A 17,857-nucleotide genomic window follows, 5' to 3' on the forward strand; every position below is an offset into this window, starting at 1 on the left:
TCTGTAATTCCTTGTTCCCTGTTTCTTCCCCTTCCCCCTCCTCCTCCTCCTTCTTCTTCCTCTCCTCCTCCTCCTCCTTCTTCTTCTTCTTTTCTTCTGCTTCTTCCTCTTCTTCCTCTTCTTCTTTTTCTTCTTCTTCTTCTTCTTCTTCTTCTTCTTCTTCTTCTTCTTCTTCTTCTTCTTCTTCTTCTTCTTCTTCTTCTTCCTCTTCCTCCTCTTCTTCCTCTTCTTCTCCTTCTTCTTCTTGGTATTTGTAACCATTTGGCTAGAAAAATTGCTACTGCTAAGGAGTCTCTATATATTCCACAAACTGTAATAACAGATACACTACCTGAAGTCCTGGCCAGAGGGAGGATTTCCCATCACCCCTGTTTGCCAAGGCCACATTGAGTGAAACTGTAGTAAGCTGCCAAACATTTATGGCTTATGTCCATGTAGTGATGGGTACCACCACCCATGCACGCATTGATTCTTTTAAGTATTTTTATTTTAAAATTTTTAAAATAATTTCAACTTTTTTTTTAGATTCAAGGGGTATATGTGCAGGTTTGTTACATAGGTATTTTGCATGATGCTGAGGTATGGGATTTGAATGATCCCATCACCCAGGTAGTGAGCATACTTTTTCAACCTTTGTTTTGACAATTAGTTTTTCAATTCTTGTTTACCTGCTTCCCTCGCCCCTCCAATAGTCCCCAGGATCTATTATTCCCATCTTTATGTCCATGAGTACTCAATGTTTAGCTCCCATTTATAAATGAGAACATGTGATATCTGGTTTTCTGTTCCTGTCTTAATTCGCTTAAGATAATGGCCACTAGCTGCATCCATGTTGTTGCAAAGGACATGATCTCATTGTTTTTTATGGCTGCATAGTATTCCATGGTGTATATGTACCACATTTTCTTCATCCAATCTGCCATGGACGGGCACCTAGATTGATTCTATGTCTTTGCCATTGTGCATGGTGCCATGATAACCATACAAGTGCATGTGTCATTCTGGTGGAATGATTTATTTTCTTTTAGATTTTTGGGTCAGATGTAGTTCTGTTTCAAGTTCTTCAAGAAATCTCCAAACTGTTTCCACAGTGGCTGAACTAATTTGCATTCCCAACAACAATGTGTAAGTGATCTCTTTTCTCTGCAGTCTCATCAGCATCTGTTGTTTTCTAAACTTTTTAAACATAGCCATTCTGATTTATGTGAGATGGTATCTCATTGTGCTTTTTCAAGAGTGGAAAAAAATCTCCATCATTTTTCTGGGATGGAAGCCTGGGCCTGCCCACTGACTCCATTTCAATTCAGCATTCTAAGAGTGCCTTTGTTTCTTTAACTTTTATTTTAAGTTTAGAGGTACCTGTGTGTATTTGTTATATAGGTAGACTTGTGTCATGGGGATTTGTTGTACAGATTATTTCATCACCCAGGTATTAAGTCTAGTACCAATTAGTTATTTTTCCTGATCTTCTCCCTCTTCCTACCCTTCACCCTCCAATAGATCCCAGTGTCTGCTGTTCCCTTCTTCTACGTGTCCATGTGTAATCATCATTTAGCTCCTACTTATAGGTCAAAACATGTGGTATTTGGTTTTCTGTTCATGTGAGTTTGCTAAGGGTAAGAACCTTCGGTTCCTTCCATATTCCTGCAAAAGACATTATCTCATTCATTTTTATGGCTGCATAGTATTCCATGGTCTATATGTACCACATTTTCTTTATCCCCTCTACCTTTGATGGGCATTTAGGTTGATTCCATGTCTTTGCTATTGTGAATAGTGTTGCAACAAACATATGTGTGCATGTGTGTTTATGATAAAATGATTTATATTCTTTTGGGTTTATACCCAGTGATGAGATTGCTGGGTTGGATGGTACTTCGATTTTTAGGTCTTTGAGGAATGGCCACACTGTCTTCCACAATGGTTGAACTAATTTACCCTCCCAACAACAGTGTATAAGTGTTTCTTTTTCTCCACAACCTTGGCAGCATCTGTTAGTTTTTGAGTTTTAATAATAATCATTCTGACTTGTGTGAGATGTTTTTCTCTTTGGTTTTGATTTGCATTTGTCTAATCATCAGTGATGTTGAGCTTCTTTTCATATGATTGTTGGCTGAATGTATGTGTTCTTTTGAAAAGTGTCCATTCATATCTTTTACCCACTTTTTAATGGAATTATTTGTTTGTTTTGAAACAGGATCTCACTCTGTCATCTAGGCTGGAGGGCAGTGGTGCAATTTCAGCTCACTGCAGCCTCTGTCTCCTTTGTTCAAGGGATCCTCCCATCTCAGCCTCCCAAGTAGCTAGGACTACAGGCACACACCACCACACCTAGCGTTTTTGTTGTTGTAATTTTTATTTTTATTTTTATTTATTTATTTTGTAGAGATGTGGTTTCACCATGTTGCCCAGACTGGCCTCAAACTCCTAGGCCCAAGTGATCAATCTGCTTTGGCCTCCAAAAGTGCTGGGATTATAGTTGTGAGCCACTGCACACTGCCTGTTTGTTTGTTTTTTTCTTGTAAATTTTTTTAAGTTACTTATAGATACTGGATATTAGTCCTTTGTCAGATACACTGTTTGAAAAAATTTTCTCCCATTCTGTGGGTGGTGTGTTTACTCTGCTGATAGATTCTTTTGCTGTGCAAAAGCTCTTAAGTATAATTAAATCCCACTTGTCAATTTTTGTTTTAATTGCAATAATTTTTGGCATCTTCTTCATGAAATCTTTGCTTGTTTCTATGTCCAGAATTGTACCGCCCAGGTTGTTTTCCAGGGTTTTTATAGTTTTGGGTTTTACATTTAGGTATTTTTTAAATACTGAATTAATTTTTGTATATGGTAATAAGGAAAGGTCTAATTTCAATCTTCTGCATGTGGTTAGCTAGCTATCCCAGGGCCATTTATGAAATAGAAAATCCTTTCCCCATTGCTTGTTTTTGTCAGCTTTGTCAAAGATCAGATGGTTGTAGTTGTGTGGCTTTATTTCTGGGCTCTCTATTCTGCTTTATTGGTCTAGGTGTCTGTTTTTGTACCATGACCATGCTGTTTTGGCTACTGTAGCCCTGTATTATACTTTGAAGTCAGGTAGAGCGTTGGCTCCAGCTTAGGAGGTATCCTAAGCTGGATGTTCTTTTTGCTTTGGATTGCCTTGACTATTCAGGTTCTTTTTTGGATCCACATAAATTTTAAAATAGTTTTTTCTAGTTCTGTGAAGCATGTCATTGGTAATTTAATAGGAATAGCATTTAATTAAAAAATTTCTTTGGGCAGTATGGCCATTTTAACAATATTGATCCTTCTAATCCATGAGCTGAGCATAGGATGTTTATTTGTTTGTGTCACCTCTGATTTCTTTGAGCATTGTTTGTTAGTTCTCCTTGCATAGATATTTCACCTCCCTTATTAACTGTATTCCCAGGTATTTTATTGTTTTTGTGGCAATTGTGAATGGGGTTGCGTTCCAGATTTGGCTCTTGGCTTGACCCTTGTTGGAGTATAGGAATGCTAGTGATTTTTGTACACTGATTTTTGCATCCTGAGGCTTTGATGACATTGTTTATCAGCTTAAGGAACTTTTGGGTCCTTACTATAGGATTTTCTAGATATAGGATCATGTCTGCAAACAGGGATATTTTAACTTCCTCTCTTCCTATTTGGATGCCCTTTATTTCTTTCTCTTGCCTGATTGCTCTGGCCAGGACTTCTAATTATATGTTGAATAGGAGTAGTGAGAGAGGGCATCCTTGTCTTATTCTGGTTTTCGAGGGGAACACTTCCAAATTTTGCCCATTCAGGTATGATGTTGGCTGTGGTTTTGTCATAGATAACTCTTACTGTTCTGAGGTATATTCCTTCAATACCAAGTTTACTGAGAGTTTTTAACATGAAGAAGTATTAACTTTTATCAAAAGCTTTTTTTGCATCTATAATCATGTAGTTTTTGTCTTTATTTCTGTTTATGTGATGAATCATTTTTATTGATTTATTTATGTTCAGCCAACCTATCATCCTTGGGATAAAGCCAACTTTATTATGGTGGATAAGCTTTTTGATGTGCTGCTGAGTTTGGTTTGCAAGTTTTTTTTTTTTTTTTTTCGAGGGCTTTTGCATCAATGTTCATCAAGGATATTGGCCTGAAGTTTTCTTTTTTTGTTGTGTTTCTTCCAGGTTTTGGTATGAGGATGATGCTGGCCTCATAGATTGATTTAGGGAGGAATCCCACTTCCTCAATTTTTTTGGAGTAGTTTCAGCAAGGATGGTACCAGCCCTTCTTTGTACATCTGGTAGAATTCAGCTGTGAATCCATCTGGTCCTGGGCTTGTCGTTCTGTGTAAAACTAGGATTGCAACTCCTGCTTTTTTTCTGTTTTCCATTTGCTTGGTAGGTTTTTCTCCATCCCTTTATTTTGATTTTAAAGGTGTCATTGCATGTGAGATGATCTCTTAAAGACAGTGTATCAATAGGTCTTGGTTCTTTATCCAGCTTACTGCTTTGTGCCTTTTACTTGAGGCATTTAGCTTATTTACATTCAAGGTGAATATTTATATATGTGCATTTATTCTGTCATCATGATGTTAATTGATTATTATGCAGACTTGTTTATGTGGTTACTTTATAATGTCACTGGTCTGTGTACTTAAGTGTGTTTTTATAGTGGCTGGTGATGTTCTTTCCCTTCCATATTTAGTGCTTCCTTCAGGAGCTCTTGTAAGGCAGGTCTGATGGTAATGGATTCCCTTACGTTCTTTTCTATACTGGCTATTTTATTCTTTCCTTTCCATGTTTAGTGCTTCCTTCAGGAGCTCTTGTAAGGCATGTCTGCTGGTAATGAATTCCTTTACATTATTTTCTATACTAGCTACTTTGTCTGTCAGCTTCTGCATTATTTTTTTGTGATTCTTAGCTTCCTTGGATTGGTTTTCAATGCATTGCTCCTATCCATACTCTGAATTCAATTTCTGTCATTACAGCCATCTCAGCTTGGTTCAGAACCCGTGGAGAGGAGGTGGTGGAGGTGGTGTGGTCATTGGAAGGAAAGAAGGCACTATGGCTCTTTCAGTTTTCAGGGTTCTTGCACTGGTTCTTTCTCATCTTTTTGGACTTAACGTTCCTTATGTTCCTTCAATCTTTGAAGTTGCTGACCTTTGGATGCATTTTTTTCTTTTATCCTATTTGATAATTTTGAGGACATAATTGTGGTATAAGGTGAATTCAGCCAACTTGCTTCATTTCTGGAAGATTCTAGATAGCCAACACCCAGCTACCAAACTCTTGGATTGCCTGCTCTAATTCTGGGGAACTTGTATCCAGCAAATCTTGTTGTTTGTCTCCTTGAGGTTACGAATCCCTTTGCACTGAGGGAGCCATGGTGCTCTCCAACCACTGGTCCCTACATTCTGATGGGTGGTACCAGTCAAAGCCTTTTCTAGTTTGGTGACAATGGAATACATCCTCATTTGCATGTGCCAGCAGCAGAAGCACAGTGGGGTGCATGCTGGTCAGCTACAGCAGGGTGTTAGCAGGTGCCTGCATGCCTGTCTCCACTCAAGTGTAGACTACAGTGGCAGAGGAAAGGCAACTTATGGGGGCAGGGGCCCCTGCTGGCGATTGTATTTGCACAAGTGTTGGCAATAGGGGAGGGCGCTGATGGGCACAGGTCTGTGTGCATTCTCTTTGTGTTTTCTATGTGCCACAGGCAGGGGTGGTCACTCAGGGTGGGGAGGTCTGCTGTTCCCTGTGACTAGTTTCATTCCCATGGCAGTGTTGGCAAAATGGCCAGTGATGGTCGGTGTAGGACTGGTTGGCTCTGGGACCACCAAGGTTCTAACTGCCATGGTGGTGGTAGGGGGTGTGGACTGCACTCTTCTTGCAGCAGTAGCACGGCAGGGTGCACTTACACATATATGCTGGCAAGGTAAAGAAAGCAAAACCCATCTGTGCACATATGTGTCAGCAAAGTGATGTGGGTGTTTGCTGTAGACACACAGGAAGCTGTAGTGTGGGGTGGGAGTGGGCAGGCTGGTGTGTGGCCATGGCAGCTGCACTTCTGGAGCGCTTACCCCCTGTCATGGAAGGCCTTCCAGTACAGAAGCTATGATGCAGGCCCTCAGGGTACCTGAGGCTTCCCTGCAAGCAGGTGCTGCCAGGCTCGGGCTCTGGGAGAGGCCAGCAAACTAAAGGGTGCTCATGTTGGGCCAACCTTGTCTGATGGTCAAGACCACCCTGCAGAGTTCAAGTCCGACTGTTGCCCTAGAACTAAAGTCTCCTATGAAAGCATGTCAAGCCTAGAGGGATGGAAGTCCCTGACCGTGCTCCGCTACAAATGTTCTCGCACCAAACTCCCTGGGTTCTACATCCGCTGGCTTGCTGCCCCTACCACTTCTCTAAGCAGCTCTGGCTGCCAACCTGAGTGTCCATGGCAGTTGAGGGGCCTCCTGCAGCTGGAATTCCAGAGGTCCGTGGTTAGAACAGGTTGCTCCTTGCAAGTTCAACTCACCCATTCCCTGAGAGTCCTTGGGGGCCAGGAACAAGTCCCAGCGCATGGTAGCCCAGTGCAATGTTCCTCCTGTTTCAGCCCAGCTTCCTTCTGTGTCTTCCCTCGGCCACTCCTGGTGCCTTCCATCGGATGATTTGTTAGGAGTGCGCCAGTTGTCTCAGTCCCTTGCTGGCGGTAATTCCACTTGCTGTGTCTAGTCGGCCATCTTGCCCCAAGCTAAGAGTGTTAAGCAGAGAAAGAAAACAGAAATAGAAAATAAATTTCATGAGAATTGGAATAAAACATATGACTGTAATTTTTCAAAGAAATTATTGTCTAAAAATCCAAAGGCAGGTGTAACTTATAGAATTCTTATAATTAAACGTCAACTTTGATATTGGCTATAGATACAAGTTAAACTTGATGTAAAAACCAAGTTTATTTCTATATGGAAACAATAATATTTGGAAAGTGAAATTTTAGAAGAAAGACAGCATTTATAAATGTATGAAGGGATTAGAATTGAACCTAATGAGATGGATATCTACAGAGAAAATTATAAATTATACAAATTTCATAAATAAATAAAGTCATATCGAGTTTATGAGTTGAAGACATTGCAAAGACAGCAATTGTTTCTAACACAATCATGGATTCAATACAGTCCCACCAAATGCAAGCAGTATTTATTGTGAACATTTACCAACAAATCCTAAAATTTACAAGAAATAAAAAATGGTCAGGAAAAGTCAGGAAACATTTTTAAAAGAACAAGATGGAGAATCTATTCTACTAGAACACATGGCTTATTACATACTACAATAAGCACAGAAATGTGATATTAGCACAATGGTAAGTTAAAAAATTGAACAGAATAGAATCTCTAGAAACAGACAGGTATAAAAGGAACTAATTTATAACAAAGAAGAATAATGAGTACAGGGCCATTTTTAAAATAAAGAGCTGTGGGTCAATAGGATAATGGCAGCCCTACCTCCCCTTGATTATCAGGGTTAATTACTCTTGACAACATGCTGGCTTTTTTTATTGCCTGTTCATCTTTGGCAGTGCAGTACATAACAGTATTTATGGGTCCCATCGTCATATCTGTACCACCATATCTCCTTTGCTGTAAAGTGACTCTTCTGTTTTAAAAAATGGTATTGATGGATTACCAGATCACATTTCAAACATTCAGTAAATCCTTTGATATTAGTGCTTACAATGCCTTGCACAGAGGAAAGAAAGATACATGTTATAATAGTGACAAACCAACTTTCCTTCCAGGTTGAGAGTGTTGCATGCACCAGATTTTTATGAAGTAGCTGGAAATTCTCCTTGAAAAATTATGCCATGTCAAAGATCTCTGTTTCTTAGATATTTGGTATTCTGCAGCAGCATTAACTAGATTAGCTTTTGTGGGTGGGAGGTTACGCTGTTAATCCATGGATATTCTCTATCTCTAACACTATGTCCACTTCATATATGTACTTTGTGCCTGCTATGGGGTAGCCAATGACAGAACCTGGATAATGAGAACTTGCCAAGTCACTGCTTCTGTGTGGCTTTTTGGGACTGACTCTTCTATGATGAATCCTTGCTGTAAACTTAAAATGCAATACAAAGATCTACACAATTTGTTCCAACTCACGTAGACACACCCACGTTTCTTCCACAGACCTCTTTTCATGTTCTTGATAATCATCTATGTTATTTCTCATTACCCATAAGTTCATTCATTCTTACCTTAGGACACTTCTATTTCTGCATAAGTTGGAATAACCAGGCATGCTGCTTGACACTCTGCTTTTTAGGAAGATTACCCCAGATAATAGATATGCAGCAGGGATGCAGCAGGTTCATTGGAGACTCATCATAACAACAACTCTCTGCAAGTGAAGGAAGCAGAACTGGAATAACAGAAATGTTGAACTAAGATGCGGTTACAAAGATAACTACAGAAATAATTGAAATTGGCATGAAACTTCAGAATTTCCCAGAAAGAGAAAATGGCATGGAATTTTGAATTCCAGATAGATTAATAAATGGGATGCAGAGTGCCCCCAAGAGGGGGCATAAAATGAAAGAGCAAACTTCCCTGTGCAGACTGCATTTTCTTGTGAACTAGTAGCACTGAAGACTCCTAGTACCTGGGAAAAAGGTGCCTTTACCCTGAAGGAAGAATATGAGAAGCACAACAGAGCATCCACTTTGGGAAGAACATTGGTGTAAATGGAGATAATGTGAAAGGTCACCACATAAATGGGAATAGTTTTGAAGACTGCTGACTTTTTGAAATAGTCTTTCTTAATAATTTAATCAAGAAACGAATGTAAAAGCACTTCGGACATTATAAGCATCACACCAATATAAAGGGCTGTTATTATTTAAAAAAAACCTTCAGGGCAATATCTATCTTGATTTAACTGATGTACTATTGAAAAGAAGCTATTGTCAGCAGGCACATGAGTCAGTTAAATAATTTAAAGCTTAGCTATAGTGGCTAATGAAAATGTAAGAAAGAGCAAGTATCTTCTTTGCCTGCTTAAAATGTGTCAATCCACCTTTAAGATTTTTACTAAACTAGGTGTAACTACAATTTTTAGATTCATCATGATACTTGACAGCAATGAGGAAAGATTCTTTTTCAAATTTTTAGAGCATCTTTTACTACTATGGTACATTGTCACAATGAATGAACTATAATAAATAAGGTTAATAAATTACAATAAATAAGGTTGATGCATTATTAACTGAAGTCTCTTCTTTATTAAGATTCCTTAGTTTTTATGAAGTGCCATTTTTCTGTTTAAGAATATCATTCAGAATGCCACATTACATTTAATCATCATGTTCCTTAAACTCCTTTTGGCCATGACAGTTTCTCAGACTTGTTTTTTATGACCTTGACAGTTTTGAACACTACTGGTCAGTTATTTTAAATAATGTTTCTCAACTGGAAATTTTCTGATGTTTTTATCATGACTGTTCTTGGGGTTATGTGTTTTCAGCAGAAAAATAACAGAGGCAAAGTGTCATTTTCATAATATATCAAGGGTACATGTCATCAACATAACTTATCACTGTTTACAATTATATTAACCATCTGTCTGAGGTATTGACCGTCAAGTATAATGATATTTGACACTGTTTTCTAAACTGTAAAACATACTTACAATCAACCATATGACCTTATGTAGCACATCACTTAACTTTTGAAAATCTTAGATATCTATCAGTAAAATGGGAATAAAGATGACTGCCTCCAATGTTTTATGTAATAAACAACATAAATAGTAAATTTATAGCCACTTGGTATGATCAAAACTTACAAAAAATATAACGTATTACTTTCGCTATTTAACATTTATTGAGTGCTTTGTGGGTGAAATTCACCATTGTATTAGCTATGAGTAATTATGCAAACAAAACAGACATGGTACCTAACTTAAAAATTTTATGTTTAAAGGGAAAGAGCATGCACATAAATCACTATAGTATAAGCAAAGGAAGAAAAAGCAATTCTGTTTATAAATTTTTCTCTAAAACTATACATCAAGAAGTGTGTGATACATTAGAAAGTAATGTACAGAGTACCTCATTTCATCTGCTCACATACCCTGTGAAAAAGGAGGTTTTTTTCAATTTAATTTTTCAGCAGAAAAAAGCAGAAGTCTTGAGAAAAAATGCTTTAGATTCAGGGGAAAAATATATCTAAAATCATGACAAATGTTAATGTGTTTCTCCAATTTCAATCTGACATTGAAAAGTCTTTCTTATTAGTTGATCACCATCAGGTGAACTTTCAATTTATTTTCTAAAGAATAGTGGGAGGAGAGATATGGTTGAAAAGCAAAATGTTTTCAAAGGTCATGAAAAGGGGAATGCTGACAAAAGAGAACAGGACATTCTCCTAGGGAGTGCCTTACATGATAATTTAATTTCTTAAAACACTCAGATGAAAAAGAGATCTTTTACCCTGGTTTTTTGCCTGCAGAGACTGGTAAGGCCAAGCTCTTCCAGTAAGCAACCAAGCATGAAAAATAATTTAACATATTAGAGTTAGTGGGTGCAGCGCAACAGCATGGCACATGTATACATATGTAACTAACCTGCACAATGTGCACATGTACCCTAAAACTTAAAGTATAATTAAAAAAAAAAAGAAAAAAAAAATTTAACATATTAGAAACTACTGTTTAGTCCTATGTTTGGCAACTTATTTTTCTATTAACTTACGAGCCCTTTAAATCTAGCTACTTCAGCACTGGAGCTTATTCACAGGTAATATTATAAATATTCAGTTTTTGTTGAAAATTTGAACACCTGACTGAAATTAGAAGATATTTATAAGTGAATAAATGAAGAAACGAATATGCTGAAACAAAAGGACAGAAAGACAATTAACTGTAAAACAATTTATAGCTATTATGTTAAAGCACATGATTCTTTACAAAGTTGATTGGAATTAAGAGAGAGATAATTTATATTAAAAATCTTTCTTTGTGTTTACTAGATAATATAATATTTCTCAAAGTTAATTTTGTACACATATAATTTGAAAATGTATTGGTTTATGTTCTCCTTTTTGCCTGATAATCCACAATGGATAAAAAGATGATGTCATATTTGAACATTACATCTGAATTTCTGTCCTTTCCAAGGTGTAGATACAATTGTCTCTTTGATATGGAATGGAGAGACTCGTATGTAGGCATTTTGAGTTTACAAAGAAATTCCAAAATTTAACTGCTGTTACATCAGAGAGTATTTCAATTTCTGACAAAGTCTGAACACATTGGCTGGCCATCATCTCCCTTGCTCTTTAGTTAAACTAATCTATGTGCTAAAATAAAGGAAAAGAGCAAGGTGATGAGAGAAAAATCAGTCAGTTTAGTAAAGCTGGTTTCCCTCCTACTTTTTTGTACTTTACATTATTCCTTTTATGTTTATAATTACACAACATAATTATTTTGAGGGATTTATGTACAGAAAATATATTTTTGGGAAAAAGATAATATCCATAATTGTGTATCCATTAATAATAGATTTAAAGAGAGATACAACAATAATGAATATACTTTGATGAACCTGTTGGATATCAGTTGACTAGAAGAGTCAGAAAATAGTATCATAATAAGGAGAAACATTGGTACTATTTTTCAAGGATTTGAAGTGATACATAAATACGGCTTCTAGTACATAAGATGGTGGGTCAAACCATTCTGTTTTGTAGATAGCATATAGTTGGAAGGTGCTTTGTTTTTGTTTTCTATTTTATCAACTGTAATGTTTATAGCACATATATTTAATATGATTAAAGTATGGTTGGCTTTAAATTTACCAGTGTGCTGTTTTTAGTTTTGACCCAGAAGGAACCCAGTATGCATTTTTGAGCTCTTTTCTTGCTTGTTTCTTTCCACAGCTCTGCCTTGTTATTTCCTGTAGTCTCAGCCTCCCTAAATTCTGATATTTTTTTCTCCTACTGGAAATCTGCTAGACTCAATTTAGGTTTTCTTCCCAAGCCAATATTCTGGAAGATGTCTCCAAGCAGAAATATGGTGCAGCTGTGTTGACAAATCTGTGTTGACAAATATTTGGAATATGAAAACTTACTGGTTGGTACATAAAACATGACACTTTGGGCAACTATTTATTTTTTTAAAGTTATACACTTAACATATAATGTTTTCCTTCCATTCCTAGACATGTACCCCCCACAAAAAGACAGCATATTTACACACAAAAACTTATTTTCACATATTTATAGGATTTTTACTTTTCACTAATTCCAAACTGAAACCAACCCATATGCCCATCCACATGTATATGGATAAATCCAACTTGTTATATGCGTACAATGTAATTCTACTCAGCAATACAAAGAAACAAAATACTGGTCAACCACAACATGAATAAATCTAGGTTATTTTGCTAAGTGAACCTAGTCAGATACAAAGTAACATAAATAGCAGATCTTAAATTTAGTAAAAGTTAATAAAATGTAAGCAAATCATTAGTGGTTACATAGGTCCAAAGTCAGTGGAAGGAATCAACTAGCAAGAGGCAAAAGGAATCTTTAGGGGATTATGACCACATTCTCTTATCTTAATTATGTCGGTGACTTTATGAGTATATACATCTGTCACAACTCTTCAAAATGTGTGCTTTACATGGATAATATTTATTAAATTTGATTTAATGAAACAATGTGTGAGGAATAGAACACCTAGATTAAGTTAAATTGTTGTCTAATTCATTGCTTCAATCCAGAAGTGATTTTTATAGAGTAATATTAATATGTTATGAGACCTTATGTAACAGGACTTTTGCATATTACAGAGACGTTATTTTATCTTTCACAAGCATAATACAATCATAAGACTGAGGGAAATTATGTACTTATTTCTTTAAAAGCTTCTTCAAAGTCACCTTACAATATTAAAAGCAAAAATCAAACATACACTATAAATCTAATCATGAATAAATGTCAAACAAAGAAATATTGAGATTTGACAGCAATTTATTCTTAAATAGTTCAAGGCAAAAATGTTATTTGTACTGTTTTTTTATACACTTGAAATTATTTACAAATTTTAAAGTGAGAGCAATAAAGAAAATATAAAATCAATCATATTGGAAATAAAAATCATGTTAATTTTTACGATATACTATTACAATTGAGATTTTTGTTTTGTGAACACATAAAGCAAAATACTGCCATTATTTTTGTCAGAAAAAGTGTAGATTCTGAGTATAAAACAAGAGAAATAATTTTTTTTGGAAATGAAAAAACACAATATTTTTTAAGCAACAGTCTAAACAAATTATACTGAACTACCATTCTAACTATAAATTTTCTTCTAAAAGTGTGATTCGCAAAAGATGAATTATATTCTCTTTAAGCAGGAAAAATTTTATGCAATTTCTTTAGGGGTTTGAAAAACAATTACTGTTTTATTTCAGTTGCCTTTATGATTTTGTCTCTTCTAATTTAATCAGTTCTTTCATAAAAACTATGTTTTTTATGTAATTTTTGTATTTTTACTACTAACTCTTGGTTATTTTCTTCCCAAACGCTGTAAAGCATAGCTCATAAAAAGTCTCCTTAATAGACATTGGAGATATGATTGTGTTGCGTGATGAATACTACTTGATGAAAAAAATTCACTGAGTTTTAATTACAATTTTCAAGGGTACGATAATGTCACCCTTTTTTCATAAATATTTCCTTCTCTTTTGACTTTTTCTCATACCTTAAAAATCTATTTTATATCTCTATCTATACACATACATACATATATATGTATGTCTGTGTGTGTATACACATGTAAAATTACAGATTTTTGTTATGAACTAAATATTTATGTCCTCCCAAAACTCATATGTTGAAGTCTAATCCCCAATGCAATGGTGTTTAGAGATGAGGACTTTGGGAGGTGATTAGGATTACATAAGGTCATGAAGGTAGAGCCTTCACAAGTAAGATTTGTGCCTTTATAAGAGTCATGAAAAAGCTTATTTCCCCTCTTTATTCTTTGCCATGTGAAGATACAGTGAGGAGTCAGCAGTTTGCAGCTTGGAAGAGAGCCTTCACCAAAACCTGATCATCCCTTGATCTTTGATTTTGAGGATCCAGAAATGTGAAAAATCTATTTCTGGTTTTTATAAGCCACACACTCTATGGTACTTGATTATAGCAGCTGGAATTTACACAAAAATATGTCTTTAACTAAAAGACTTCATTGTTAAACAGCAAAGATGTATATCAAGCAGATACATCACTGTTAGGAAGAGGGCCTTTTTGGTCTGGATGGGAAATCTAAGCACACTCGGCAACAGGTGGCAGGAGCACACTGGACCAACATGCAGATCCAGCCTTGAAAAGTACCAATCGGGAGAAATTGAACAAATCATCTAACCTCTTTCATTATTTGTTTTGTTGACTTGTTGAATGTGAGTAATAAATTTGAAAGCTTGTGGTGAGTACTGAAGACAACATATGCAAAATTGAGTTGATAAACTGTAATTTTCAATATTTACATTACTATAAATGGAGAGGAAAAGACTCTAACCTACTTTACCCTTCAATTTTCTTGTAATTATAGTACTAATTAGAGGATGATTGTAGCTATACCCCAAGCTGGGTAAAGGTCAGTGATGCACACTCACAGTTTTTGAATTGAATTCAACCAATAAACTAAAGGAGTGGAGAGAGCAGGCTAAAAAGCACACTCTGTAGTTGGGCCAGCGCACTCTGTTCTGGAATTTCCTCCATGAGTCCCATGTTTCTTCCTGCATTTATATATTTTATTATAACAGCACGAATCAACATAATCACCCCATTTAAATGAAAACATCTTTCCAAGCACCACGAATTTTTGACATAATTATTAAAGTATACGTGAAAAAGGAAGGTGAAAACACTATTACATAAATAAAAGATAATTGAATATTAAAATATCCTGCAGTAATACAGTTAAAGAATAGAGATTCTATAAGTCAGAGAAGAAAAATTCCTCCACCGAATTTTTTAATTCATCCTAAGTGTCATTGATTTAAGTTTGTTGATACCTAAATTTCAATTTACTTAAAATTTATTTGGAAATTTAAGACATAGTAACATTTGCAGTTTTTAGCAACTTATGTTCTTATTGACTACTTAAAGAAGTTAGTATTTTAGGGCGGGCACAGTGGCTCATGCCTGTAATCCCAGCAGTTTGGGAGGCCGAGGAAGGCAGACCACCTGGGGTCAGGAGTCAAAAACAAACCTGGCCAACATGGTGAAACCCCGTCTCTACTAAAAATACAAAAATTAGTCGGGTACAGTAGTGGGCGCCTGTAATCCCAGCTATTCGGGAGGCTGGGGCTGGAGAATAGCGTGAACCCGGGAGGCAGAGGTTGCAGTGAGCCGAGATCGTGCACATTGCACTCCAGCCTGGGAGACAGAGTGAGACTCTGTCTAAAAAAAAAATATATATATATATATATATAGTTATTTTATATTTAGACAAGGAGGAAGTAAGGATAAACATGGCTTTAACAATGAGAAAGTGGTCAATGGGATGTTTTTTTTTGAGACGGAGTCTCCTGTCGCCCAGGCTGGAGTGCAGTGGCGCGATTTCGTCTCACTGTAGCCTCCGCCTCCCGGGTTCAAGTGATTCTCCTGCCTCAGCCTCCTGAGTAGCTAGGACTACAGGCGCCTGCCACCACACCCGCTAATTTTTGTATTTTTAGTAGAGACAGGGTTTCACCAGTTTGGTCAGGCTGGTCTTGAACTCCTAGACCTCATGATCTGCCCACCTCAGCCTCCCAAAGTGCTGGGGTTACAGGTGTGAGCCAGCCAGGATTTTTAAAGATTTAAAACATTCATTGAATCTACAATTTTCCAATTTAATATATGTTTTCAGTGGTTATTAATTATAGCATAGGATATTTGAGGATTTTGACTTAAAAAATATTTTAGTGCAACAAAATGAAATTTAGCTCTTAAAAACAATACTGAAAATTTTCTTCTTGGCATTTAAAAACCAAGATTCTGGATATCCAGCTGATTAGGTTTAATGTAAAATGCATTAGTGTGTAGTGCTGAGCATTTCAGAATGCTTTTATCAAGAGGTCCAAACAAACGCAGTGGGTCATAATGTCAAATCAGTGGAATAATTCATGAACCAACTCATCCTCTGACTTACTGACACTTACCAAGCTGTTGCCTTTAACCCCTAGCAAACCTATCTTAGAAATTAGAGGTTTACAAAGGAATATATATATTTATTTATATATATATACACACACACACACGTATATAACAGAGAAATATATAGAGAAATCATTATTTTTACATATATGTAAAATAAATATATTTCTATTTTTACATGTATGTATATTCTTTCTAGAAAATATATATTTAATAAACTTATAATTCTTGATTACATAGAAAGTAAAAATATAATACGTATTAAGTATATATATTTAGTAAACTTCTTATCTTTGAGTACATCTCATACATTTTCTTATATTCTTAGTTGCATATGAATTAATTGCTGAAACTGTTTGTTTTTGAAGTTGATTGAAGATGGAGGTAACTCATTTTTATTCGTATTTTCGACCATTGACTCTTTTAGGATGCCTCCCTGTCTTTTCCTCCTACCCCTAAATATAAATATATAGTTATTTTACTTTCCTAGGGCCTCATTCTAAACCAACATACAAATAAATTTACAAAGGAAAAAATAAAATATGTATTATAACATGCAAAGTGATACTTGAGTTCAGTTATTATGGTAATAAAAACAGTAAATTTCCTTATAATATCAATTTCTTAATCCTGTACCAATCTGATGCCAAGACACATTTCAGACAAAAATCTAATTTTTCAATAGATTACATTATAACTGACTAATCAGAGAATAAAGGACAAGCACTGTGGACATAAATTTGTTTTTCTCCTTTCTACATCAAGAATACTTACATCTCTTTTTTTAAACAAAGAGGATCATCAGTGATAATACCTAATTACAATATTCATTTTCCTATTTAAGTTATAGAGATATATGCTTTTCTTTTCTATTCTTCTATAGTTACTATTACAAAGTAATGAACAACGAAACATTGTAATGATATATGGAAATTTGTAAACATTGATACCAATGAATCTTTTTATTCTTCCCGACAGTTGTAACGTATATATTATGCTTGATACTGTAGTGCCCTGAGACTTCTGGTAACATTCTCTTTTAGATATAGTAGATCATATATGCACACTAAATATAGTAGATCATATCTGCATGAAACATGCAGCAGCTTGGGGTCAATAATAGGCATGCACTTCTGAAATCTAAATGTTCATGAGTCCCATAAACCATAACCTGAAACAAGAAAATTTGAGTACCTATGCTGCAACTACTACTTTCAATATTTTATTAATGATTTACAAAACCATGAATACATGCTTTACATTATTTAATTCTGCTATTTCAAAAGTGAATCTATAACATGTAGGAATCTACAAAAATCACAATAGTATTGTTGAAAAACTAACTACTTATTCCAAACTCCCTACCCCCACCATTCTGTGATACTTTTATTTTTCTTGTTGAAACTCTCACATTCTAGAAAGTGTGGACTCAGCTTAGGGCCTAGTTAATGCTGGTGATGAAGAAGAAATTCAGTAGATTTTAGCTAAAATAATGTACACGAATATATTATTAATTTATTTATTAATGGTCTTATAATGATTATAATAGTGATTGCTCACCAGATCACCAAATATGAAGTATTATTGTCTAATATAAATGTTAATTTTAAAATATATAATATGTATTTGTATAAATATTTTCAATACAGTTATTGAGTACATGGCAGCATTTTTTAAATGTA

The 17,857-nt window shown here is 35.4% G+C and overlaps 1 long non-coding RNA gene across 1 annotated transcript in view; it reads right to left on the minus strand.

Annotated features, from left to right (window-relative positions):
• Nucleotides 1-17,857, minus strand: part of LINC01687 (long intergenic non-protein coding RNA 1687) — an 89,302-nt gene that overhangs the window by 25,563 nt on the left and 45,882 nt on the right. The window contains exons 3-4 of the long non-coding RNA NR_109959.1: nt 8,225-8,388; nt 6,500-6,715 (exon numbers count right to left, since the gene is read on the minus strand). This is a non-coding gene — a long non-coding RNA (long intergenic non-protein coding RNA 1687). The remainder of the gene's footprint in view (nt 1-6,499; nt 6,716-8,224; nt 8,389-17,857) is intronic.

Source organism: Homo sapiens, chromosome 21 (assembly GCF_000001405.40).
Source record: "Homo sapiens chromosome 21, GRCh38.p14 Primary Assembly".
In the NCBI taxonomy this organism is placed as follows: domain Eukaryota; kingdom Metazoa; phylum Chordata; class Mammalia; order Primates; family Hominidae; genus Homo; species Homo sapiens.